This window comes from Homo sapiens, chromosome 22 (genome assembly GCF_000001405.40).
Source record: "Homo sapiens chromosome 22, GRCh38.p14 Primary Assembly".
Taxonomy (NCBI): domain Eukaryota; kingdom Metazoa; phylum Chordata; class Mammalia; order Primates; family Hominidae; genus Homo; species Homo sapiens.
The window spans coordinates 24,064,024-24,089,890 of record NC_000022.11 but is presented as its reverse complement, the minus strand read 5'-3'; the positions used below and the strand labels follow the sequence as shown (position 1 = coordinate 24,089,890).

General features: G+C 47.0%; 1 protein-coding gene across 50 annotated transcripts in view; it reads right to left on the bottom strand.

Moving 5' to 3' along the window:
* CABIN1 (calcineurin binding protein 1) overlaps positions 1-25,867 on the bottom strand; it is a 167,325-nt gene that overhangs the window by 88,738 nt on the left and 52,720 nt on the right. For 41 of the 50 annotated variants that reach the window (XM_047441218.1, XM_047441219.1, XM_047441226.1 and 38 more), the window contains 9 exons: positions 25,704-25,856; positions 22,710-22,904; positions 18,849-19,091; positions 17,381-17,537; positions 13,607-13,722; positions 6,502-6,663; positions 5,106-5,312; positions 4,740-4,885; positions 2,178-2,439 (listed from right to left, as the gene is read on the bottom strand). In XM_047441218.1, the coding sequence (XP_047297174.1) occupies positions 2,178-2,439; positions 4,740-4,885; positions 5,106-5,312; positions 6,502-6,663; positions 13,607-13,722; positions 17,381-17,537; positions 18,849-19,091; positions 22,710-22,904; positions 25,704-25,856 (1,641 nt within the window). Of the gene's footprint in view, positions 1-678; positions 912-2,177; positions 2,440-4,739; positions 4,886-5,105; positions 5,313-6,501; positions 6,664-13,606; positions 13,723-17,380; positions 17,538-18,848; positions 19,092-22,709; positions 22,905-25,703; positions 25,857-25,867 lie in introns of those variants that run through there. The other 9 variants (XM_047441227.1, XM_047441238.1, XM_047441240.1 and 6 more) reach the window with 2 other exon arrangements.

Sequence of the window (25,867 nt, the reverse complement as noted above, 5' to 3'; positions counted from 1 at the left end):
TGTCAGGTTACTGCTTCCAGGTCATACAGCTAGAACGCTCTGGCTCCAAAGCCTTTCCCCTTGCCTGAGAACTGACATCATGGGGAAAGCATTTGTTCTCCTACACCACCACCTCTGAGGAGTTTCTGGGCAAAAGCTGAAGCACACAGCAGCTCGAACAGCTGCCAACATGTGTCCTGCAGCCCATCCTCCAGACACAATAAATCCAGACAGAAAAGTAGCAATCAGGGGACTGTGTCCTCGTGACACATTTCAGGGTTGGAAGCTGTCTCTCCAGAGGTGGAAAAAACCCAGGAGGCACAAGGCAGCTCTGCAAGGTAGTTTTCACCCTCGGCAACTATGAAACACCTCCCCCTACCTTCCCTCCCTCCCTGTCGGGACATCTGCATTCCTGGTGGATTTCCATCTCTCTCCTGCCACCCTAACACTCCAACAAGATGGCTTGGGAACCCAGTTTCAGGACCTGAGCTTCCTGGGCCAATGGCTTCCATAAGATCAACACTGAGTTCAGTCCCAAAGGTTATGAGCCTAAGTAGAGGAAAGAACAAAGCAAAGGGAAAAAGTATGTGGAAACTTGAGCTCAGTCTCCTTACCCACTCCCTGACTTCCCTGCTCCCTTCCTGGGGGAACCTCTACAAACAAAGCTCTACAAACAAGTGCCAATGGCAGAAAGGGAACTCTGACTTCTCACCCTATTTATTTCCTGGAAAACTCCCACTCTGCCAAATCTCATTTGCCATCATTGGTGGGAGATTAGGGAGAAAATCCCAAGAACCATGATCAGCTCAGCCCACTGAGCCCCAGCAGAGGATAATGGTGCTCCTGCTGTTACAAGGAAGGCCTCTTGGGGAGTCAGGCTCTGCATCCTAGGGCAGCAGCTTCAGTCCCCAGCCTGCCCAACTCTGGGGCCACTGCAACACAAACAGAATCCCGCAAGGGACTTTAGTGCAGAACAGTTACAATAAAATAGGGTTACAGCAGTTAAAAGGAATGTACTAGATCCACAGGAATTATCATGGATAGAACTCAACAGTGTGGTGCTGAGTGAAAAAGGAAGCTGAGTACCATACACAGTGTGATAGCATTTAGATTGGTGTTTTTTTCTAGGAGTACATATTTATGTATAAAAAGTACTTTTTTTTACAGTCTGGAAAGAAACAAGCCTGTTTCTGAGGTAGTAGGGGCAGCCAGAGGGATTTGAGCTTTGCCCTTAATATTGTATACTGCAACTGATTTAGAGAAGCCTGTGTCCCTTGTAAGATTTAAGAGTAATTTTTTTTTTTTAGACAGAGTCTCACTCTGTCGCCCAGGCTGGAGCGCAATGGCATGATCTCAGCTCCCTGCAACCTCTGCCTCTCAGGTTCAAGCAATTCTCCTGCCTCAGCCTCCCGAGGAGCTGGGATAACAGGCATGCACCACCATGCCTGGCTAATTTTTGTATTTTTAGTAGAGATGGGGTTTCACTATGTTGATCAGGCTGGTCTCATACTCCTGACCTCGTGATCCGCCCGCCTCAGTCTCCGAAAGTGTTGGGATTACAGGCGTGAGCCACCACACCCGGCCAAGAGTAATTTTTTTAAAGACGGTAATGTTAAAGAGGAGGCGGTGCTGACACTTCTTTCCCCTATCCTCTCTAGGGTGCAGTGCTACTGCACTACTGCTACTGCTGCACTAGCCTAAACATGTCAGTATGGCTCCTTCACTTCCATCTCAAGGAGCCAAGGGTACCCTACTGAACAGAGACCTAAGGGCCAGACTCAGTATCCTGCACTAGTGTAATCCCCTACCAAGAGAGACTTCAAAAATCCCAACCTAAGCTCAAGAATTTTACAAGGATCCAACAAGCTCCTTTGAGGGAACAGGGAAGAAATAGCTACTTCTGGTGGCCAACACCTCTCCCCTCCCTATCTCTCAACTACACTATAACTAATGGCTGACCAGCTGGGTCTAACAGCCTGTCCCTAATTTGTCTACACTAGACTGGGTGTCCAAAGACCAGGGACCAAGTTGTCACTGACCATGGTATGGCTTAAGCCTCATGGGGAGATTCGTCAGTGAGCTCCCAGCATGGATGTGTGGACAAGAATAAAGTACGAATGAGACAGAGCTTCGTTGACCTGAGGGCACTCTGTCTGGACAGAAGGATGGCAAGCCCATCTGCAGCACCCCCTCCTCACCTGCTGCACGAGCTCAGGGGGCAGCTCGCCTCTCCACTGCTTCAATTGACGTGAGGCGAATGAGTGCAAGGCATAGGACATGGTGCCATACTCAATCCATAGGGACAAGTTGGAGCTGTCAATCTCCAGGGCCCGACGGAAGCAGTTCAAGACGGGCGTGGCATGCTTCCAAATGGGCCCATCACTCTTCAGCTCATTGGAGTTCAGCTTGTCCTGAATGCGGCTGGCCCGGGCCAGAGCCATGCCTGCCCAGGAATCAAACCTGTGGTGGTAACAAAAGCACCAGCTAAAAACAACACTACATGAAAAGCATGGAAGATAATGACAGCCTAGTGGACAGGCAGATGGACCCCATGGAAACTCCCTTCCCACACCAGGGCTCAGAGCCCAACTCTGCCACTCACTAATGCCATGACCATGACCCAGACCAGTCATGTCTCTGAGCCTTCATTCCTAACCTGTGACACAGGGCTAAGAAGACCTACCTCAAGAGAAGAGCTGTGGGCATTATGAGACAAAATGTATTTTAATCACCCAGCGCCTAATAGGCATGCAGTAAGTACTCTAATGGATGAGCTCTTGGACTCTGTTCCCCTGCTTTGAGGGGTTGCCCACAGAACAGCTCTGGTGGAGAGGAAAAGGAGTGCTCTACAAGGCAAGGCAGCAGCAGTCCAGCTAAAGCACCAGGAAGACCCTCAGCCAGGTGTGATCTTACCTACTTCTGTGCTGGCAGAGCCTGTCATTAGCACATTTGCCAACCAGAATCATGGGCAGCAGAGACCCCTGGACCCCAGCAACCCAGCTTCTACCCCATTCTCTCTCTGGGACCCTGAGCAGATCCTGCCCCTTCCAGCTCAGTTCTCAGCAGTAAAATGAAAAGTGAGGGACCACATGATGGCTGAGACCCTACCATTCTGAGACCACCCGAAAGAAACTGATAGTGAGAACACAGAAACCTGTCTGAGAGGAGGAATGGCCACAGAGACACCAAGACTAAGATGATCTCTGAGCACTTGATAGTCTGAGACTTGCTGAATGCTAGTACAAAGAACAGAAAAGGCAGCAATCAAATGGACAGACGCCACCCTCACACATGCCAATCGTCCTTAATGCACTGCTAGCACAGAAGAGCAGACTAAGCACCAAGTCTCGCCTAGCACCTGCCTGTTAAGGCCAGAACGAAAGTGGCCAAGGCCTGGAGCCCAGGATCAAGCCATCAAGTGCTTTCCTGGCACTGGGGCCAATCCCACGGGAGACCACGCCTCTGTGGCAGGGTTGCCTAATGGGCCAGGCTGATGGGTTGATACCCTCTAAACAGGCAGGTATGAAGGTTGGAGGGAGGCCCAGTTAAGCTGCCATGAGCCTTAATTCTGTTGAATAAGGGGCTGTCAGGTGAGAGGTGCCATGCAAAGACAGGTGGGTTTTATCACCCTCACTTTTCAGATGTGGAAGTAGGGGAACAGACGAGGAAACCTGAACTGTGGCGCAGTAAGCACTCAGCCAGACTGAGCATAGATAGGTCTGCTCTATCACACTGGTTCCCAGTCACCCCAAGAGGACGGCCAGGGCTCTGCCACATGGCTCCCTGACTGGAAGAAACCACAGGCTAAGCAAAAGAAGTTCTGTGAGAACCTTTCACACAATCTACACAAGTCTTGCAAACTGGCTTTTCCACTCACACCCAGTCCCTTCTCTTCTTGGCCAGATGGATCCTGACAAGGTGGAATTCTCTGGTTTTCCCTGAGTTAGGGTGGCTCTGTGCTCACCCATGGCTCAAGGGCAGCTATCACAGCCTGGCCTCTGAGTCCTTCCAGAAAGTGTGCCTACAGATGCTACTCTGAACCCTTTAGATGCAGGTCTGCCACAGAGGGTAGCCTCCTTTTGACCTTCACCCAAGGCTTACCTCCTAGGTAGGAAAAAATATTCCCTCTTAATCAAGTGCATCAAACTTTACAAATGTAGAAGGCCCCTTGAGAGGCTCCAGGCAATCACTACATTTTAAGAGAAAGCCAAACAGGGTTCCACAGGAAGAGAGCATGAGCTTCATGTGCAATGAGCTCTTCTACATGTACTATCATGACAATCGCTACTGCTAACAGTGCACTGCATCAGAGCAAAAAAGAGAACTCTGGCTTGAGTTTTTCTATTACTTGTCCCCAAGAAGGCAACCATAGTTAAGAAGCCTGCAGTGGAAGCAGCAAGAGTACACACTCTGGGGCTGTGAAAGGGGGCAGCACAAAACCAACAGGATGGAGCCAGGTTGCGCCTCCTTGCCCTGCACACCAGGGTCCAGATGGACACTTCGTACCTTCTCTAATAACCCTTTACCAATAACCCTCCCAGAGGACTTTGGAAAAGAGGCCTTCTCCTCTGCTCTTCTTTTTATGGAAAACCTGCCTTTCCTAACAACAGCAAAGTGCTAAACCACCCTCTCATTCCGTTTTCCCTGGTCTCTTTGCAATGGACAGGGAAACCCCAAAGTGGCCCACTGAAGAGCTTGCTGAGCTGGAGTCACCCCAGTCATCCCTGCAGCCAGCCTAGCCTCATGATCTGGTCACTGACCTATTGGGGCAGATGCAGATGTCATGCATGTAGAACTTGATGGCCTTGGACTGCTCCTTGTTTTTGAAATGATAATCAGCCAGGAGGTAGTAAAGCTCGTTCACCACTGGAGGGGAGGGGTCAGCCCCCTCTGGGAGGCAGGGTACCTGGCAGGTGAGAGGAAAAGTATGAGGGGAGGTGGAGTCAAGGACTCAGATGTGACCAGTAAACCCAGGACTGTTTAGTCACAGGACAGACTCTCCAGCCTCTCCTGCCCCTCAGTCTGGTACAGAGCAGAAAAAGAAGCAAAGGAGCATATACAGCAGTGGCAGAGCGGAAGAGTGTGACCCAGCCCTGTCCCCCACGTCCTCAAGGTTGTGGGCCCACCTCAGTTGAAGTTCCCTCAATGTAGGCAGAGACTTTGTCCAGGCTAAGGGCTGGCCTCTCTGTGCGAGGCACAATGGTGGCAATTCTCTTCAGTAGGTTGGCCAAGTCAGCAGACACGGTGCTGGTCTTATAGCTGTCAAATTCAGGAAGGGTCTTGGGCTTAAAATACTCAAACATGAACAGTGCATCCTCCCATATAAGATCCACCTTGAAAAAAAGACAGAAGGCAGATTAGTAACACATTCAGGGTAAATGAAGAAGGAAAATTGCATTCCTCCATAGAAACGCACTTTGTCCAATGTAAATGAGGTTATGGCATATTGGAGAGCCTAAAACAAATCCCCATTATACTTAAAAAAAAAAAATCTGCACTACAAAAATTAGCTGGGCACGGTGGCAAGCGCCTGTAATCCCAGCTACTCAGGAGGTTGCGGCAGGAGAATCTCTTGAACCTGAGCGGCAGAGGTTGCAGTGAGCCGAGATGGCACCACTGCACTCCAGCCTGGGCAACAGAGTGAGACTCCATCTCAAAAAAAAAAAAAAAATCTGCATGCCCACTATAATCCCCAAATCCAAGTGTCTGAAAAGCATAAGCCTAGTCTGTAGAAAGACAGACATTAGAAACCACAAGCTGCGCTCTATAAGCCCACGTGGCTGAGCCAGAGGGTGGGTTCCATCATGGGTGGGGACCTTGGGCCAGCCACAGACCCTCTCCACTTGGTAGACAAAATATTGAAGGAGAGCTGACTCCAGGGAGAGTGGCCCTAGGTTTGGGGTCCACAGCAGGGGCTCTGTCCTAAGGAGCTTACATTTTAGTGGATGGAATCCCTAAGATCAGAGAATAACTGACAGTACTGAGGAGCCATTAGATAATACACTCAATAGCGCTCTAAAAACCAAAACAACACAAAAATGGAAAACCTCTAAGGAATTATTCATATCCAAAATAGAAATAAACTATCGACAACTGCCATGCTACATTTTTTGGTTTTAGGGTAGTTTTGTTTGTTGTTTGTTTGTTTTTAGAGATGGGGCCTTGCTCTGCCACCCAGGGCTATTCACAGATGCAATCACAGTGCACTCCAGCCTTAAAATTCTGGCCTCAAGTAACCCTCCTACCCTCACCCTCCAGAGCAGCTAGAACTAAAGGTATGCACCACCATATCTGGTTCTACATATTAGTCAACATTAGTTGAATGTCAGTCAACATTTATGAAAATAAGTTTTTGCAAGAAAAACCCTTGTCCTTTGATACACTCATCAGACCGTCTTCTCTCCTCCTTCTGATGCAACTCCAAGCAGGACTGCCAAGATGACTGTTGACAAATATGACATCCTTCAAAAGAGCTTACAGCTCCTGCTTCCCTCTTTGTTGGGCCTATTGCAGCACCCTCACCTGCTGGGCCGAGTGTTCCTCCAGGTACCTGGCCTTACTCTTCTTGCTGGGGAAGCTGTACAGGCAGTAGAAGCACTGCTCCAAGGCTGTCTCCAGCTCCTCCTTGTAAGGGTGCGTGTCTTCAGAGGTGGATGCAGCCAGTTCCTTCTGGAGTACTCGCACCTGTGGTGGGCAGAAGAGATGGCCTGAGGTGAGGGCCTGTAGCCACTGCCTCCCTGTCACAGCAGGGCCCCAGAGAAACCACCACTCTATCAACTCTTTTAACCTGAGGTGGCTATGTCTGTTGGGCTCCTGCATGACTTGATTCCAAAAACACCTGTTTCCTGGAAAAGTCTTGTTATCCTAATAGGAGTAATTCTGGTCCCACCTCTGGGCCCAACAGTAGCCTCCTGATGGGTTTACCAAGCTGCCTTTCTTTCAGCACACCTAGCCAATTTCTACCAGCCACCAGAAGAAGATATTTGCCTCCTGGGAACTTCACTCATTTATTTAGTCATTGATTTCCTCAACGAATATTTACTGAATACTTTCTTAAAATAGGTATAGTCCTTGCTTTTTAGAAGTTCAGATTCCAGTGGAGAGAATAAAGTTAAACTATAAACAAATAATTATAACATAAGATGATAAATCTCATTAGGGCTAAGAGAATCTCCCTCAGACAAAACATAAATGAGGATCAGAGAGGATGTGAACAACATAGTAAACAAGTTACATCTAAGAATATGAGAGCCGACGGCTATTGTTATGCCCAACTATTAGCAAATACACATTATTTTCAAGCATTCATGAGATTTTTGCCAAAACTGGATGAAAAGCAAGTACAAAGACCAAAAACTAGATATAATACATACCACATCCTCAGCTGAACACAATTCAATAAAATTAGAAATCAATTATATAAAAATAGCAAACACCAAATATCAGAATATATGGGAGTCAGACAAAGATGTATCTGGGAAAACTTACAGTCTTCAATACAGGCATTAGAAAAGTGAATACTGGCTGGATGCAGCAGTTCATGCCTGTAATTCCAGCACTTTGGGAGGCCGAGGTGGGAGGATCGCTTGAGCCCAGGAGACTGAAACCAGCCTGGGCAACAAAGTGAGACTCTGTCTCTACAAAAAATTTAAAAATTAGCCAGGCATGATGGTGCACACCTGTAGTCCCAGCTACGTGGGAGGCTAAGGCAGGAAGACTGCTCGAGCCCAGGAGGTCCAGGCTGCAGTGAGCTGTGATCGTACCACTGCACTCTTAGCATGGGCAACAGAGTGAGACCCTGTCTCAAAAAAAAAAAAAAAAAAAAAGAGAGAGAATAAAATCAAGGAAGACCTGAGAAGAAAACAAATTTTCTTTCTTTTTTCTTGAGATGGAGTCTCGCTCCGTCGCCCAGGCTGGAGTGCAGTGGAACAATCTCGGCTCACTGTAACCTCCACCTCCTGGGTTCAAGCAATTCTCCTGTCTCAGCCTCCCAAGTAGCTAGGACTACAGGCACCTGCCACCATGCCCAGCTAATTTTTTTATTTTTAGTAGAGACGGGGTTTCACCTTGTTGGTCAGGCTGGTCTCGAACTCCTGATCTCAGGTGATCCACCCGCCTCAGCCTCCCAAAGTGCTGGGATTACAGGCGTGAGCCACTGCACCTGGCCCAAAATTTTTAAAAATAATAAAAATAGAAAAAAGAAAAAAAAAGAGTGAATACTAAAATAACCATTCAATTCAGTAAGTTAGAAACAATACAGAGTAAATTCAAAGAACGTAAAAGGAAATATTAAAGCGGTAATGAACTAGAAAGCAAAGAAAAAATGGATCAATAAACCAATAGTCAGTAATTTGAAAAGACTAATTTATACAAACCTCATGAAAGACTGGTTTTTAAAAGGTGGGGGGAGAAAGCACAAACTATTTTAGCAATGAAAAAGGGGCATAACTCGAGGTACCACAGAACTTTTTAAAGCATAAGCAGAAACCATGAACAGCCTTATGCTCTAAGTGGAAACTGTTAAAACAATATAATTGACTTGAGAAGAGAAAATCTAATTGGACCTATAATCACTAAAGAAATAGTAGTTTAGAATTTATTATAACACTCCCCAAAAAGAGAGAGAGAGCTCTAGACCACAGGTGGCAAACCACCCCATGGGCCAAATCCTGCCCTTGTCTGTTTTGTAGGCCGGGAGTTAAGAACGATGTCTGCATTTTTAAATGATTGAAAAAAAATTAACAGAAAAAAACTATTTTTTAACACATGAAGATTATATGAAATTCAAATTTTAGCGTCCACAAGTTTTGTTGGAACAAAGCTGCAGCCACTGATTTAAATAATATCTACGACTGCTTTTCTGAGGCAATGGAAGCCCTGAGTAGTTCCAACAGAGACCCTAGAACCTACAAAGCCTCAAAGATTTACTATTTGTCCCTTTACAGGAAAAGCTTTGGTGACCCCTGGCAAAGAGTATAAGACAAGGGGGAAAAAAGAAAAAAACTATAAGGATTGAAAAGGAAGGAAAAAATAGTTATTCGTGGATGATATGACTGTCTACATAGAAAATTCAAGTCTACCACCCACTAAAATTAATAGAAGCAATAAGCAAAGGAGCTGTGCATAAGAAAAAATTATTCAAAAAACTAGTGCTCCTGCATGCTCACAAAAACCAAATAGAAAAACTAACATTTAAATATCTATTTACAACACTAATAAAAACAAATGAAACCTAGGCAACAATCTAACAAAATATACGCAACAATTTTACAGCTATACTTTGAAAAAATGAGAGTGAAAGGAAAAAAAGTATTATGGAGAAAATTATTAAGCTGAATTAAGGGACATGAAAGCATAAGACCTAAATAAACAGAGAGATATACCACATTTACGACTAGAAAGACTCAATCATACAAAAATGACAATTATTTTGCAAATTAATCTGTGAGGTCAATGTTATTCCAATCAAAATTCCAATGGCAGGTTTGCGTTAGGGGGTTGGATATCATAAAACATTACAGAGTGATCGTACAATGGTACAGAAGAGGAAAAGGCCAAGAATAGCCAAGAGACTAAGAGGTACGTGAGTAGGTTAACCCTACCAGGTATCAAAATCTCTCAAAGACAATTCAGTATTGTCAGGAACGGACAAGACTCCTATGCCAATAAAAAGAACAGAGCCAACATGTAAGAAGGTGACTTACAAGTCAGCACAGAGAACAGACTCTTCAAAAAATGGTAAAAACCAACTGGCCATGCATGTGGAATGTAAAATTGGATTCCTGCCTTATCTTTTAACAAAAATAAAATTTAGATGGAATACAGACACATGAAATACAAGAGCAAACTAGTAGACTAATGTAAAGGAGATCTTTACATAATTTTGTGAGAGGGAAGTAAAAGTACCCCCATCCCTCAAAAAATCACAAACCTCAAAGGAGAAGACTAATAAATTTGACATTCAAATTTTAAAATTCTGTAAAACAAATACCATACACATAGTTAAAAGATATCCCACATAAAGGTGCACAGAAATAGAAATAGAACTAAGCACACAGACACAATATGTGCACGTAAAACTGGTGAAACTTATGTATCAGATAAAAGACTGGAATTCAGAGTACCTTAAGAAAAAAACTGCAAATCAATAGGAAAAAGAAAAACAAACCACTAGAAAGATGGGCAAATCATGTGAACAGGCAATTTGCATAAGAGGAAACCCAAGGGGTAAACAGGCATAAAAAGATATTCAATCTCACTAATAATTATAAATTATTAGAAAGAACATCTAAAGAACAATGAAATACCATTTCATGCCTTTCAGATGGGCATCAACATTTAAGTCTACTGTACCTAGGGCTGACACAGATGTGCAGGAATTCCCACACAGCTATCAAAAGTATAAAACTGTTCAATAATTTTGGAGAATAATCTGAAAATAAAATTTTTAAAGTTAACAATGTACACACTCTGTGATCCAGTAGTTCCTTTTACAGGAATCTACACAAGAGAAACTCTCACATGTATACATAAAACAACCTCTTGGTGGACGTTAACCATAATATCATTTGTAACTCCCAAAATGGATAAACAACCTTAATGCCATATTAGGAAAATTGTTTTAAAAAATAATAACAAATACTTACAGATGAATTGATATAAATGTCTAGGATTTGCTTCAGAATAATGTGGGATGATTGGGAAGGTAGGTGGGGGAGTGGACATGCGTTATGAATAATAACGACTAACCAGTGCTCAGTATATGGAAGTGCACTATACTTTCTATTTTAATAATGTTGGGAATTTTCCATACTAAAAAGTTTAAGAGCATGATATACTCACACAATAGAACCCTGTAAAGCAATTAAAATGAATAAACTAGATGTACTTGTATCAATGTAACTGTATCTCAGTATACTAAAATAAAAGCAAGCTGCAAGAGGTTACATACTATATATTTAGTATGTAAAATTTTAAAACTCATGTAACTATATACTATTTACTGACATACAGATACATAATTAGGTATAAAAAAATGTGGACAAAAAGATACACAACCAGCTTCAAGAGAGTGAGGGAGGTAGGGTAGTGAAGAGCATGCTTTCTTGTTAACTCTTATTTTTATCAGAAGACAAATTTGTGGCAAATACAGCAGATTGTCAACACATATAAAATCTGGGTGTGGTACACAGAAGGGGGGTGGGCACACAATGTAAGAGGGAATATCCAGGTATTAATAAAGGCTCTATAGCACAGGGGCCATTTGAGCTGTGTGGAGATGAACAGATAAGAATCCATCAACCCAAGTAAAACATATGAAAAGAAATAACTCAAGAAAAGAAGAGACTCAAGAGGATTTCTCTCAGAGAACATTTCCATTCTATCTAAGAAAATAATCCACACAAAAGGTCTCCCTGATGTTGGCCTCAAATCACTCTCAAGATGGAATCCTTTTACCTGCAGACCATGAGCCTGGGGCAAGAAGAGGTAGTAATGAAGCATTCAACCTTCATAACCCTCCATGGCACCCAGAATCATGAGTGCTCAGCAAGCATTTCTGGGGAAATTAATGAATGTCTTTATGTTTGTTCATTCATTCATTCAAGAAATACAACTGGGCAGCAGTCTGTCAGGTATTGCTCAGGCCCCAGGGATGCTTCAAACAGCAAGACAGAAAAGGTCCCTGGTCCCAGGGATGCTAGCTGGTGGGGGAGGGGCACATGACAGAAACAAATGGTGGGGGTCCCCAGCAGTAGACAGGACAGCATGTGGCAAGAGAGAAAAGCCTCTTTGAAAATGCAGGAAGGAAACAACAAACCAGTCATGCAGAAGCTGAGGAATAGCATGGCAGGCAGAAGGCACAGGGTGGTCAGGAGAGCTGCTGCAAAGGTTGGAGAAATGTAAAGGCTGGGCCTTGGGCAGGAAAATCAGGAACTACAAAATGAAACACAACAGTGCTCAACTCACTTCTACTCCCTCAAATTCATTAGCAGATATCAGCAGCTAGAATTCATGCTCCAGTAGAAAAGACACAGATTAAGAAAAATGAAATAGGACCATCCTGTTGCCCCTTCAGCCCACCCCTTCACTCTTAGCACCACTCCCACCCAAGCTAGCCTAAGGTATTAACTCATTCTTCCCAATCAGCATAAGGAGGATGGCCTTGTGGAGGTGACCTTATGGAAGCAGAGACTGTCCCTGCAGAGGGTTGGTTGGCAGAGGGAAGGCAGAAAAAGGGAGTGGCTGAGTCCTGGGCAGCATTACAGACTCAGCCTGGCAAAACTCTTCCAAAAATAGTCTTGGAGAGTAGAGCTGACCCAGGGTGAGCATCCCAAAGGCCCTCAGAGCTCACGGGGTAGGGGAGACATTCAGGCATCTGGAGCTGGGGCTGGAATTTGCCTCAGACACTAACCAGCAACAGGGACCTGGGCCAGATGGGTCTCCTGGACAAATCACATATTCAGCCTAAGTGTCTTGCAAACTGTCAAGCTCTATACATACATGAGCTCTATACATATGCATACTCTCCTTTAACCCATATTTATTAAGCACCTACTATGTGCCAGGTGTGTACTAGGTACTTGGATCCAGCAGTGAACAAAACTAGCAAAACCCCCTACTCTCTCTAAAGTTAATTTCAGTGGAGCAGAGACACACAATACACTCAATGAGTGTATCACACAGCATGCTAGAGGTTAAGCGCTGAGGGGAAAGCACAGGAAGATGGGGAGTACTGGGAGGGAGGGTGCAGTTGTGAAAGAGCAGGTATTGTTCCCTGAAGAGAAGGTATAGAGCAGGTGATGGCAAACGTTTTCTTAAAGGGCCAGATACTAAGTATTTTAGACTTTGCTGGCCATACACCTCCATCACAGCTACTGCACTCTGCCACTCTACTGCAAAAGCAGCCACAGTTAATATGTAAATGAATGGGCATGGTTATATCCCAATAGAACTTCACGAATAAATATTATAGGCTGGGTCTGAGGTCCCTGTCTTGGTATATGAAGAACACCAGGTGCTCTGTAACTGGTCTGCATGCTGCTTGGCCTCCTACTCAACAGTGAGATTGGAGACAGGGTTCGTGCTGCTTATCCCTAGTAAACCCAGGGAGCTACTTCCAGTCAATCACAACTGACAAGTGCAAGGAAGTGTATGTGCTCTCACTAATCATTTAGTGACTGAATGGATGTAATAATAGCTATTGAATGAGCAACTACTACTTGGCATTGTGAGTAATGCTTAGTAAACAGGACTCAATAGAAGGCGGTGGTGGTGCATGTGGTTATTACTCCTGAAATTACAACTACAAGGCCTAGCCCCGTGCCTGACTAGGAAGAAACTCAGTAAGGACTAGTAGATCTAAATCCACCTGCTGTTCAAGAGCTCCGGAGCTTCCTGAGCCTCAGGTACACAAGGGAACTTTCTGGCAAGAAAGTCTTATCAGACTTTCTGACAAGCTTCGGTAACTACAGTGAGAAATGCAGTAAGTCAAAGACACACAGTGGGCCCACTGAGGGAAGGCCAAGCAAGCCCAGCGTGCCAACATGAATCTGTCCCCTTCCCATTCCACCTCCCACCCCAGCCCTGCCCCGCACTGGCAGTCTGCAGCCCAAGGGGAAGCACTTACATAGAATCGCAGCAGAGCCCCATCTGAATTGCAGCACCAGGACCTTCTGCCCAAATACTCGTGGGCTGTGTTCAGCAGCATGAGGGAGGATGGGAGCATGGGCGTCTCTGACATCCCTAGGGAAAGCCCAGGCCGACAGACACAGAGTTAGTGTGGGAACCTGCGTGCCTGCAGGGGCTGCGAGGCTCAGTCTCCTCTTTTCGGGCTTTTCTGTCTTTATCAACATGACTACAGACTTTTCCTTTCCCTTTTTTTTTTTTTTTTGCCTTTTTAAATAAGTAGTGACTTGACTGGCTTTACTAAAGCAATACACGCTTATCAAAACACAATTCAAGCCATATAGGAAAATATAAAGGAGCACACTTTATCCATCAAAATACCAGCCCAGAGAGAACCAATGCTGACATCTGGTGAACCTCAGTCACAGCATCCATCTGTGCATATCTGATGCATTTTGAATGAGAGAAAAGTAATTTGTTACAATGGAACCCATACTACACATGCCATTTCTTAACTTAAAAAAAAAAATTTTTTTTTTTAAGAGATAGGGTCTAACTGTTGCCCAGGCTGGAGTACAGTTGGCACAATTATAGCTCACTGCAGCCTCCAATTCCTGGACTCACACAATCTTCCTGCCTCAGTCTCCTGAGTAGCTGGGACTACAGGCGCGAGCTACCACACCCAGCTAATTTTTTAATTTTTTGTAGAGACAGGGTTTCACTATGTTGCTCAAGCTAGTCTCGAACTCCTGGCCTGCCTCGGCCTCCCAAAGTGTTGAGACTACAGGCATGAGCCATGGCGCCTGGCCTTAAAAGTTCTTAGATTTAGGTCTACCTGAATAATACAGAAGAAAAAGAGTAAAACAGGAGGAAAAAGAACTACTGAATTCCAGTTACACATTTGTTTACCACTAGAAGTATTATTTGTTTATAAAGGTCCCTTAGTATTTTTGAAACTCTGGGCCATAACCCATTAACGACTTATAACTAGCATTTTTAGAGTGGATCAGGACAGAACATGTCAGAAGCCACTAGTAATAACTTTCTTTCATGAAATTTGTTTTGTACTTTTTCTTCTTTTTTTTAAGATGAGGTCTCACTTTTGCCCAGGCTGGAGTACAATGGCATGGTCATAGCTCAATGCAGCCTCCAACTCCTGGGCTCAAGTCATCCTCCTTTCTCAGCCTCCCAAGTAGCTAGGTCTCTAGGTGCCACCACCACACCTGGCTAATTTTTTAAATTTTATTTTACTTTTTGTAGATACAGGGTCTTACTACGTTGCCTGGGCTGGCTTCAAACTCCTGGCCCCATGTAATCTTTCTGCCTCAAACTCCTGAAGTGTGGGAATTACAGGAGTGAGCCACCATGCCCTGTTACTTTTGGCTCTTAAATGCAACCAATTGTTCCAATTTGTCATATTCATTCTGCTCCATGCTGTTTGCATTTATGACTTTATAATGGTGAGATTTAGTTTGCAGTGTTTTCCTCAGTTCTACGATTTTCCTTTTTGTTTCATTCTGTTTGTCAGCTCAAAAGCCCAATTCTGCTTCCTCCGCCTTCCTTATAAACCCTGTCTTAGTATCTGCTTCCAGAGAATTCAGTATGTGATAACTGTTATTATTTTTCCTGGGTGATAATATCCTCACCAGGCCCCTCACCACCCAACCATAGTGTGTTTTATCCCAGGGCCCCTTCCCTCAGCTCAGTCTGCACACTGGAAGATGGCAGGATCCTGTGGCTCTTCCTGCCTCTGCCAAGGCCAAGGGTGGGATGGAGGAGGTTTCCCCTCATGCCACTCTCCACAAATGAGAATATTAATAATATTTCCCAGGATTTGGTCAACTTGCTATCTTCCATCAGTTCTCCTGCTGAGGGACATGCAGAGACAGAGCCACATCTACTGCCACTCCACCAGAATCTTTCTTTTTTCTTTCTTTTCTTTCTTTTTCCTTTCCAATCTCTCTCTCTTTCTTTGATGTACTTTTCAAAGTTTAAGGTATTTGACTATTCCTCTATCCGCATTTACTTGCTGGCAGTTTTTTGAAAACTAATTTTTGTTTGCATAATTAATTTTGAGGAAAAGGAGAATTTCAGTCCAGAAGTCTTTTCGTGTTATTTTTCTAAGAAAAATAACAAACTTTTATAGTTATAAACTTTAGGTTTTTTTTCACCACTAAAATCCTTTTGGAGAACAATGTGGTACCAGAGGTAATAATTATCAAGAGCTCTAAAGATATTCATTCCTAGAAATTTATCCTAAAAAAAAAATTGGGTACAAGCAAAAAGGCATGAATGAGGTGTTCATCACGGCATGACCCGTAAGAATGAAATAGTGCAGCCAAACTAAGGGTTCAGCAGCGGGGATGGTTCAATAGTGCATGCACCTCTCATCAGCATGATGAAAACAATGGAGCAAAATGGAGCAACAGCTTTACAAAACAGAAAATAAAAGCCTTTTGCAATCTGGCCCCTCTTCCCATATCCAATCCCCATGCCCCAGGTCTCCTGCCTGACTTAAGGCTTGCTCAGTCCCTGGCCCCACTCCACCTCCCCAATGTCTTCCTCTGCCCCTGCTCTTCCTTCAGGGCTCAACTCAACCCACACCCACACCCATGGGCAGCATCAGGTGCCCTCCTCTCCATCCACCACACCATCCTGGTGTTAGATAGTTGATCTGTCTCCCACTATCACAAACCTGTCAAGGCCAGAGGTATCCTAGCCACAGAGCCCTGACATGTAGTGAGCAGCTGGTAACTTTCTGAGCAGTGAATAAAATTATAGAGAGAATGTGAAGGGAAGGAGAAAAACCACATGTTAACTCTGGTTTTCTCTGAGCAGTTGGAATAGGGATGACTCTTTCCTTTCCACTTTTCTTGTTTTACAAATTATTGAGGAAAAATCTTCAATAAACTTAATTTTAAGCTAGTTGAATACAAGCATCAATAGACACATATTATTCTAACAACTGCACACAAACTAGATGTGCATTAGGCCAAGTCTGGACAGCAAATGCAAGAAAACAAAAAATGGAAAAAAAAAAAGATCTATCTGATAAGATTACAGGCAATCTTTGCTTTAAGTGTCATTTAGCTGCAGTACTGTCGTTTCTTCAATCCAGCACACTTTCTACCATTGCACTGACTATGGATCCATTGCCATCTCCATTAAGGGTCTGGGGCTCGCCCTCCCTGGATTCTCATCACTCAGCACCCACCATGAGCCAGGCACTGACCCACCATGGTGATTCATGGCTTTATTATTTCATTTCATCCTCAGAATAACCTTCTGAGGTAGATATTATTATTCCCAATATGGGTATGGGGAAATAGAGGCTGAAGTTATATGACTTGCCCAAGGTCACACATCTAAGAAGTGACAGTTGGGATGTGGAACCTGTGCTCACTCCATGCTGCCCTCGGCTTACCATCCCTTCGGGTGTCATGGGGATTAAAGGAGCTAGTGGATACAAGGCCTCCTGGAGCAGTGTCAGCATTTGTCATAAGTAGTCACCTCTTGTCACTCCCTCCATGCTGCCATCTGCACCAAACATACAATGCTCACACATCCAGGCCTCCCGTGCCCACTGCACAGTAAGCTCCCTCAGGGAGAAACCAAGGACACTTCTGCCTCTGTCCAAGCGCATGCAAAATCCTGGGATTGAGAGGACTGAGCCCCACTCACAACGTCTGGATAAGGTCCAGGACCCTAGGGCAGAGGACAGGGGCAAGGACATGGGAGTCAGAGCTCATCCCCACTGCACCCACTGCCTGTGCACCTTCCTCCGCTGGGTTTTGGAGCTGCTGCTGGTGGCACAGAGAATGGAAGGTGTCTTCCTCCTGCCAGATGATCCGGTGTAGAATGATCCAGGGTAGCACTGAAGAGACGTGGGGCTCCTTGGCCTCCTCCTGCACAGCCATGCTGCAGTCAATGACCTGACAGTGCGGGGTGGGAGACAGCAGAAGTGTCACAGCAGGGTAAGCCTTCAGGGCAGACTGAAGGGAGGCAGGAGGCCTCTTGGGGAGCTGGTATGTGCTGCCTGCCCACCCCCACTGCTCAGATGTGGGCACTGTAACCTAGCAGATCCTCAGCATGTCATCGGACAGAGACCCATAGTGTCCAATGATAGTCACACTACTCTCCTTCATGCCACATGCAGTTACTGATACCCTCAGTACCTACTATGTGCTGTGTCCTGTGAACAGGGCATGGGGGAGCTGAGAGCCCAGAGAGAAGAGAGCCATGGACAAGCTACACAAGTGCAAAGAGTCAGTATGGCTGCTGCAATGAGAACAGATGCAGCCACAATGGCTCACAGAGGAGGGGTGGGGCAGACAGGTGAGAGCCTTATTAAGAAAGTTTCCAAGTGAGTGGCTGTGGTGTGTCCAACACCCAGGGAGGGCAAGGAGTGGGGGCAGAGGACAGGCATGCAGGCAGGGACCCCAGGGGGTAGCCCAGGAAGGCTGCAGCCAAGGAAGCACAAGACCAGGGGGAGAGACAGGCCTGGAGCTCAGTGTACCTTAAGTGACACACAACCTGGAGGGAACATGAAGGGTTTTAAGTGAGGGAGAAGCACATTCATATCTGTTTTGGAAAGGTGCCTCTGTGGCTGGAAAGCGGCTGGAGCGGGCAGAGGAGACTGTGGCAAGTGTGCTGCCACAGCTCAAGCAAGAGTAGCAGTGGCCTGGACTACAGCAGAAAGATGAAGACAGAGGGAGAAACAAAGGCTGGAGGGGTGAGGATATAGATTTGGCAGGACTTGCTGATGGCCTGAGCGGGAATTGAGGAGAGAGCCCAGAGTGCTTCAGAGGAAGATTCTCTGCCTTAAAGACTTCCTGGACGATGCAGGGTGCTGTGACTACCCCTCAGTTGGAAGTGCCAGGATACCGTGGGATGCTGGAGCCATCCCGGCCTGCGCTCTGGCCCCCATTCTGCCTCTGGCTCACTGCAGGCAGACCAGGGCCTCCCCGTGAGGTTATTTCTTCCCCTCTGGGACGGATGGTCTGGAAGAACCCCATGGCACCAAGTGCTACACAGTCTCTAATCCCCAGATCCGACCAGCCCCAGGAAGGTTTGCAGCCTGCGCACAAACCCCTCCTCAGATCCCGAAAGTTCCAACCAAAGAAGCCATCATGTCCCCTTTGGGTGCCTAATTAGCAATGAAAGCTATGAACTACTGAAGAAGCAGGATGTCACAGAGACATACCTGCTGGGGCAGGGCAGGGTGAGAAGGAGCCAGGGGTTACCTGGATGAGGTTGTTGGTGAGCCGCACAAGGCCAGTGGTGGAGGATGATACCTTCAGGATGCTACCACTGCTGTCCGCAGAGAGGGCCTGCTCGATGCCCATCAGCAGTTGGGTCACTGTGGCCACCCACTCCTCCTTGGCGGCAGCCTCACCTGAGTTCACCATCTGCTGGACAGCCTCGTTCAGAGCCACATCGGAACACTCAAAACACTGCCGATAGTCCTTCAGCCGGAGCAAGGAGTCCTAGTACAGCAAGAAGCCAGGTGAAGTGCACGGTGAGCTCAGCACATCTGGGCCCAAGGCCTGAGCAGAGACAACTGAAGGAAAACAGATGAGGGGCAGCAAAAGAAAGGGAAGAACGAGCCCCAGCACAACATAGGCCCCATGCAGCCCGGAGGTGCCTAGAAGGGCAGTCCAGTGGCCTGTGTGCAATGGCAGCAGAGAATGTCACCAGCCAGGGAGCTTTCAGAAAGGCTTCACCTCTGTACCTCAACTTCCCCATTTATAAAGTGGGGATGCTGGGAATGAGGCTGCAGAGCCAGCCAAGGTGAGACAGGCACCCCAACACCTGTCAGCTCTCCCCAGAGCCACTGTGCCCATCCAGTGCCAGGGCTCTGGAGGGGGTTCAGCAGCAAAGGGGCAGACTGCCAGGGAGGGACTACCTCAGCGGAGGAGGGCCTGAGCCAAGGCCACAACAGGGGCAACTGGCCAGGCAACACTAAAGTCATCACTCTATCAGCCTCCTCCTCCCCAGGTGCCCTGATGGGGCCAATGTGTAAGCCATTTGAGCCTCAGCCACCACATCATCCCCTCAGCGGCACTGTGGGCATTAAATGAGCTGATGTGCATATTACACTCAGCACAGTGCCTGGCACATGGAAGAACTCTCAGAACACCACACTGAACTGTTACTTCTATTTTAAAAGCTTCTCTTTGGAAACCACTGCTTTTCGCAAAGCTCCTTTTTTTTTTTTTTTGGCCTAGAATACAACCCATTTAAATGCCTGGGATCTCTCATCACTGTGCTGGTGCATGGGGAAACACAGCCTGTCTGTGAATTCACAGATCTGGTGGGACGCTTGTTACACCTACAGGAAGCACCTGCTGCCCGGTGACCCATTGGGCTCTAACCTCGCCACAGCCCAGGCCTGGCAGCGGCTCCTCCCAACCTTGACATGTGCAGCTGCCACTCTCTGAGGTGAGACCAACAGGTGTGGGGTCAGAAATACCTGGAACTGCCTTTGGAATGTGGTGTGGTATCTGAACACAGATCAAAACCCCCCCCAATTTATAAATCCTAATTGCCAGGAAAATGGGGCCCGTGTTTCATTAGAGAAAGCCAGCAGCCTTTACCAGGAGGCCACTGGGGTGCGAGGGTGCCTACAGGGTGCTGATGTGGGAGTCCAAAGCCTGAGCTGATGCCTCCTGGTCAAAACACCCAACATGTGAGAGCCAGAGGATTATTTTCCAGCATGATAAAGACTACTAAATGCAACCAGAGTCATTGTGAAAGTCAGGGACAAGACAAGGACCTGCTAACGGTGCTCTAAAATATGACATAATCTCCAGGGCTCAAGGCCAGACAGAGCAAAAAAGTAGAATAAACACCAATGAATGAGGAGACCAAATTACCATCGACTGGGGGCAACACAATCATCTACCCAAACACAATAAAACAAGCCAGACAGAAAACAAGAAATAATGGGAACTCAGTGAAGCACCCAGACTCAAACACAAAAAAATCAATAGGGTTTCTATAAGCCAGCAACGTAGGAATACATGGAAAAGATAGTGAACAACAAAAAGATTCTGCTCAATATAGCAACCAAAAATATTAAGGACTAAGAATCAACTCAACAAGACACAAACTATCCAATTAGACTGAAGAACATAATAGGCAGCTTGCCCACTGGAAGAAAGCGCCACTATACACCCACAGGAAAAGACTGCAAGTTCAATGCCCCACTTGAGAAAAGCTAAATGAAACAAGTTAAATGCAAAACATAAAACATTAACACTGCGGGAATAAAACAAAAGCAAATACTCTTTTTATCTCTCTGTTGATGGGTCTCTTGTCTGCCCCCCCTCGAGAACATGGGGTCCCTCAGAGCAGCCTTCCTCTTGGCCCAGTGCCAGGCACCCCATAAAAGCTCAAGCTATGTGTGTAGAACAAATGGATGAATATTTCTCCACTCTTGGAAAGACTGTCTAAGCATAGGAACAAAAAACACAGTGAACCATGAACAAAATCACACATGTATGAAAACATCAAAAGATGTGACAGCATAAAAATTCAGAACCTCTCTGCAATTTAAAAGCAAACAATTGGGAAAAAAATATTTGCAAGATTTGTTGAGAAAAAGATTACTATCTTTAATATACAAAAAAAAGCACTCCAAATCAATAAGAAAACACTCTCAATACAAAACTGAGCAATAATCAGGAAACCTTAATTCACAAAAAGCAGGAGCTTCCACAGCATTCGGCTCCGACCTCAAGCACAGCCCTTATCACAGCTCAGCGCCTGCCCAAGCAGCAGTTCCTCCCCCATCAATGGGGTATCCTGCCACATCCAGCTGTTCTAGAAGACAATAAGAGCAAGACCACATCTGAGCATTGAGGCCATCCTATGGAGGCAGAGACCACTGGCCTCTCTCCCCTTTCTCCCACCCAGCACCCTTCCTGGTATGCTGGCTGTCCCTCCCACACATAGCCATGCTGGGCCACCTTGCAGCCTGCCAGGTAACAGGTCACACACATCTCATCCGCTGATCTTGGCTTGGGCCTGACTGACCTCCTCTGCCAGGAGCTGGAGCCTCCTTCCCTCCACCCCCTTCTCCCTCCTGCTTCCCCAAACCAACTCTTTCTTACCCTTTCCCCATGACTGAGGTGCTTCCATTTGTTCCCATAGTCGCACCTCTTAACTATTTCCCAGTTCAACAATGTTAATGATTAAAATGCTTCGTGCAATCTGTGCAAAAAGCCTGGGAGAAGACTGGACTCTCTTTCCAAATTGAAAGGGAAGTACCCCATAGATACAAAACACAATGTGATTAGTAGGATGAAGCATAAGGGACCAGGACTCAATGCCACTAAGCATATTTTGCGTATTATCTTCCATGTTTATCTCGGTGCCAACTCAACCCTCCTGAGGATGGTGGCAACGATGACAGCAGTACCTCCACAGCACCTGCTAGTGCCAGGCATGGTGCCAACACACATTACCTTGTGTAATCCCTACAACAGGACTCTGAGCTAAGGACATTGGTCATCCCTATCCTAGAAATGAGGAACTGAGCTCAGAGAGGTTGAATAACTGCCCAGCACCCAGCAGCTGCCAGTTCCCTGGCAGGCTCTTGGTAAGAGTTTACCTCCTGAGGAACAGAAGCACAGAAGGATTCAGGAGGGCACACGAGGTTTCAAACATAAGGCTAGTGTTATTTTTCTTCAACACATTGGTCTTTATTTTATCTTGATTCTTTCCACTGTACAGATATTTTAGCCACTTTTATATTTACCTTAAAAAGCAATACAAAACAAGATGGATGAATAAACAAGTGGATGGACAGATGATGACCTGACCATTCTTCCTTCCTCCTCTGCCACACAGAAGTTCTGAGTCAAGTGTGGGGTTCACCCTGAGCCACGCAGAACCCTAGAACCTGCACTCCTTGGTTCTAACTTTCCATTAGTCTTGACCATATCTTCTGACTAACATCTTCCTGGGGGCTTAGTGGTTTTGACATCCACTCTCTTCTAGCTATACATTCTTAAGAACTACCGCAGAACCTCCAGAGAATAAACACAAACAAGCAAGGAGAGAAGGTGCAAGTGGGTGTGAGGGACACTGGCAGCACACACCTGCAGAAGAAGCAGCTGGGCTGGCCTCTCAGGAATGGAAGTCATAAACTCCAGGTGTTTGGCCCGGTCAAACCCACTGGTGCACAAAGTGGGGCGGAGCAGATGCACAACAGCCTTGTAGTCGCCTGCTTCATACAGCCGCTGAATCTCCTCCAGGGACTGGCACCGCTCCAGCGACTTCAGGTTCTTATCAATCTGAAAAAGGCCCGGCAATGCTGTATGAGGGTAAACCCCTCAGCCCCTGCCCCACCAAATCTGGCCAGTGTTTGTTTTTATCAGACTTGGATGAGGAGAATAAAAATTAGACTATGTTCCAGCCCAAAAAAAATTAGATTCCTCCTTCATACATCAGTGTTTACACTAAACGTATGTGTTAAAAGTATTTCTATTAATGGCTAGGCATCCAATTCTTTAAAAAACAAGCACATCAAAAACCAAAAACTACTCAGAAGCAGAGGAGTTCCAGGAAAGCATCCACCAAGATAGCTGGACAGCCTTGTGGTCACAGTTCGGCGAACCAGTCTTGCAGAACTGCGGAACATCGGGTTGTCAGAGACTCAGCAAGCCTGGACCAGAGGTTGTCATACGCTACATGCAGGACCTGACGAAGCCCTGGCATGTAGACAGCTCTGTACTTGTACTTGTCCCTGAAATAACTCTAGGAGAGTCTGAAGGCCACTTTCAGCCAGTGTGGACATGTCACAGATGCAGAACTGCAGCAGGGTCTGGAGCTGCACAATGAATAAAGTGGCACCTGGGTGGAACTTGGCATATAGGCCACACACTGCTGACTCAACCCCATGGCCAGCCCAATACTGGTCTGCTCCAGCTGATATTTCCTTCCAGTTCCACTGGGGTGGCTGCCACACATAGCCAGGAGAGCAGAGCAATGACTGCTTCTAAATAGTGCTGGTGAGAGCTCCCACACCTGCTTTCCACCAAGGATCTGCAGTGTCCCAGTGTACTACAGCAGCCTTTCCCAGGCCTCTCCTGTCTTCCCAACAGAGGCCCCACTCAGCATATGGGAAGCTCTCTTGTTCCTCAGAAACAGGTCAACCCTGGGCTAACTATGCCAAATCACAAGAAACCTTTGACTAAAAAATACCATTTAAAACCTTTCACTCCCTCTCCCTCTCCCTACGGTCTCCCTCTCCATCTCTTTCCATGGTCTCTCTCTCCCTCTCTTTCCACGGTCTCCCTCTGATGCCAAGCCGAAGCTGGACTGTACTGCTGCCATCTCGGCTCACTGCAACCTCCCTGCCTGATTCTCCTGCCTCAGCCTGCCGAGTGCCTGCGATTGCAGGCGTGCGCCGCCACGCCTGACTGGTTTTCATATTTTTTCGGTGGAGACGGGGTTTCGCTGTGTTGGCCGGGCTGGTCTCCAGCTCCTAATCGCGAGTGATCCGCCAGCCTCGGCCTCCCGAGGTGCCGGGATTGCAGACGGAGTCTCGTTCACTCAGTGCTCAATGGTGCCCAGGCTAGAGTGCAATGGCGTGATCTCGGCTTGCTACAACCTCCACCTCCCAGCCGCCTGCCTTGGCCTCCCAAAGTGCCGAGATTGCAGCCTCTGCCCGGCCGCCACCCCGTCTGGGAAGTGAGGAGCGTCTCTGCCTGGCCGCCATCGTCTGGGATGTGAGGAGCCCCTCTGCCTGGCTGCCCAGTCTGGAAAGTGAGGAGCGTCTCTGCCCGGACACCATCCCATCTAGGAAGTAAGGAGCGTCTCTGCCCGGCCGCCCATCGTCTGAGATGTGGGGAGCGCCTCTGCCCCGCCGCCCCATCTGGGATGTGAGGAGTGTCTCTGCCCGGCTGCCCATTATCTGAGATGTGAGGAGCGCCTCTGCCCGGCCGCGACCCCGTCTGGGAGGTGAGGAGCGTCTCTGCCCGGCCGCCCCGTCTGAGAAGTGAGGAGACCCTCCGCCTGGCAGCCGCCCCGTCTGAGAAGTGAGGAGCCCCTCCAACCGGCAGCCGCCCCGTCTGGGAAGTGAGGAGCGTCTCCGCCCGGCAGCCACCCCGTCCGGGAGGGAGGTGGGGGGTCAGCCCCCGCCCGGCCAGCCGCCCCGTCTGGGAGGTGAGGGGCGCCTCTGCCCGGCCGCCCCTACTGGGAAGTGAGGAGCCCCTCTGCCCGGCCACCACCCCCTCTGGGAGGTGTACCCAACAGCTCATTGAGAACGGGCCATGATGACAATGGCAGTTTCGTGGAATAGAAAAGGGGGAAAGGTGGGGAAAAGATTGAGAAATCGGATGGTTGCTGTGTCTGTGTAGAAAGAAGTAGACATGGGAGACTTTTCATTTTGTTCTGTACTAAGAAAAATTCTTCTGCCTTGGGATCCTGTTGATCTATGACCTTACCCCCAACCCTGTGCTCTCTGAAACATGTGCTGTGTCCACTCAGGGTTAAATGGATTAAGGGCGGTGAAAGATGTGCTTTGTCAAACAGATGCTTGAAGGCAGCATGCTCGTTAAGAGTCATCACCACTCCCTAATCTCAAGTACCCAGGGACACAAACACTGCGGAAGGCCGCAGGGTCCTCTGCCTAGGAAAACCAGAGACCTTTGTTCACTTGTTTATCTGCTGACCTTCCCTCCACTATTGTCCTATGACCCTGCCAAATCCCCCTCTGCGAGAAACACCCAAGAATGATCAATAAAAAAAAAAAAAAAAAAAAAAACCTTTCAGCTGGGCACAGTGGCTCACACCTGTAATCCCAGCACTGCGAGAGGCCAAGACAGGTGGATCACCTGATGTCAGGAGTTCAAGACCAGCCTGGCCAACATGGTGAAACCCCGTCTCTACTAAAGATACAAAAAATTAGCCAGGCATGGCGGCGGGCACCCGTAATCCCAGCTACTCAGGAGGCTGAGGCAGGAGAATCCCTTGAACCCCAGAGGTGTAGGTTGCAGTGAGCCGAGATTGCACTATTACACTCCAGCCTAGGCGACAAAAGTGAAACTCCATCTCAGGAAACAAACAAACAAACGAAAATTCTCACTTACCTCCTCCAGGGAAACCACAGAGTCATTATGGAGGTTGGGCAGCCGGATGACAATGTCTCTTCGTTCAGCCCCTGCCTCCACCTGGATGGCGGTGGAACTCTGGAGCATTTCTGTGCAGATGTCATAGTTCTCCAGGGCCTGCTCCATGTCTCCCTGGTTAGACG